The sequence below is a fragment of the Homo sapiens genome, chromosome 16 (genome assembly GCF_000001405.40).
Source record: "Homo sapiens chromosome 16, GRCh38.p14 Primary Assembly".
Lineage (NCBI taxonomy): Eukaryota > Metazoa > Chordata > Mammalia > Primates > Hominidae > Homo > Homo sapiens.
In genome coordinates this window covers 62595078-62597088 of record NC_000016.10, presented here as the reverse complement: position 1 = coordinate 62597088, position 2011 = coordinate 62595078, and the positions used below count along the sequence as shown (strand labels likewise).

General features: G+C 38.2%; 1 annotated feature.

Annotated features, from left to right (window-relative positions):
- Positions 1619–1790: a silencer, noted in NCBI's record as "fragment chr16:62629203-62629374 (GRCh37/hg19 assembly coordinates)". NCBI's record gives its function as "represses an EF-1alpha promoter that drives an FKBP-Casp9 reporter gene in an ReSE screen in K562 erythroleukemia cells {active_cell/tissue: K562}" and the evidence as "EXISTENCE:reporter gene assay evidence [ECO:0000049][PMID:32094911]".

The following is a 2011-nucleotide window of genomic DNA, read 5'->3' as shown; positions in this document are numbered from 1 at the left end:
TTTAAGCTTAAAACTACTATGAATATGTTTTTAAGGGTGTGTGTGTGTGTGTGTGTGTGTGTGTGTGTATGTGTGTGGATTTCTATCACTAAGTTAGAATTCCCTTCATTCAATGGAATAATTGCAGAGTTTTGTGGAGGAGAGAATACAACACCTGATATTATCTCTTTCAAGACAAAATGTCTTTCTAGAAATAGAGATAGAGTTGGCCTTGTGAAAACAAATCACATCCTGAATCCAAGGCATTGAATTGTCAGAGGAAGCCTTAAAAAATCTCTCACTGTTCCCCTTACTAAGGGGAAAGCCAGAGGCTACAGAATTCTGGCCACAACAATCCATTCCTTTAAAATAATGTAATCACTCTTTCTCACAAAACATATTTAATCCCGTGGTGAGCCAAGTAAAATTAAGTGTTGTTTTATTGTTAGATTACCTAATTACCACCTTCTCTTTTGCTTTTTTTTGATTTTAAAGTACATGCTTACACACATACACACAAAATAATAACAATAAAAAAGTCTTACCTTCTGTAATAGTCAAAAAGCCTTGATGAAACACAGCAGTATTTTCAAAGTCCCCTGCAAGCTTTTGTCGTTGTTAAAAGCCTTATAAAAAAGTCGTATTTTTAATTTTCTTTTTTCCTTAGTAAAGGAGTTTGAAAATTCAGACAGCTGTTATGTGCTGAGTGCCTTTTTTTCTTTGGTCACTTCTCTTTGTGCCGGCAAAGGTTTAGAGACTTGTAGTTGTTCTTTCTCCCTTTGTTTTGTGATTTATGTGGGAGTCTTGTCAACAATAGTAATCCAAGTCTTGGATTTAACTACTTCAAGGGATCAGAGTTTACGCAGCACATGAAGAAAAGGATATTTGGCATACGTGGTCACTCAGATCACAGCTAATGGATCTCCAGTCAGTCAACATCCCCAGCACAGAGAATAGGACCCCGTACATTCATTTAAATAGGCCAATTGATTGACTGATTGATCTTATATTTGTTAAGTGATTTTTTTTTTACACATCACTTATGTATCAACAAAGAATCTTGTAAAAATGTCAACTAGGAGTTAACAATTGGAGGGCAGGACCTAAATTTCTGTATTTCTGAGATAATATCAAGGCTGCCTGTCCACAGCCCACATTCTGATAGAATGACTTCAGGCCCCTCCTGCCACTGAGAATTGAAAAGGAGATTCATATTGTCATCCTAAAGACCACCAGGATGATTGAATAGCAGGAAGGAGAGCTTGATTGGTGTTATCAGTTTGCAAACCAGGAAGAGATAGTCTGTGGTGTGAACCAAAGGTGCACCCTCTTTGAAGATGAAAAGGGACAAGTTGGGTTTTATGCCTCACAGGTAGGGCCTATATCACACCACACAGTCATACATATTCACCAGGTTTGGGGGGAAAGCTGCACTTATTTATGAAGGGGAGTTGGACACATGCACAACCGGTAAACACACATGTAACATACATCCCGTGTTTACTTTGGGGCAGATTTTTAGCATTAAAATGAGGTGGAATTTGGCCCTTTACACAAAAAAGTGAAATATATTACCTGAAGGTGGTGGCACATGCCTGTAATCCTAGCTACTCAGGAAGCTGAGGCACGAGAATCGCTTGAGTCTGGGAGGCAGAGTTGCACGGAGCTGAGATTATGCCACTGCACTCCAGCCTGGGCAACAGAGTGAGACTCTGCCTCAAAAAATAAAAAATAAAAAGTAAACTACGGGACACAGTTTGGGCGCAACCTCTATATGCCAGCTAAAACTGATCTCCAAAAATAATATAAGTGCTGGGATTTTTCTACATAGGTGTTATGGAGGACATCCATGAGTCTCTATATCTGTAAATTGAGGATGTCATTTTGTGTTCCATGAGCTAATTGTTAAATACCATAATGTATGAAGAGTGATTATTTAACTCGTAAGGCGCATGGCAAGGTCACAAAATCACTAATCTGATTTGGAAATACCCCATATACTACTTATGTTTTTCTTTTGCTTTCTTTTCTT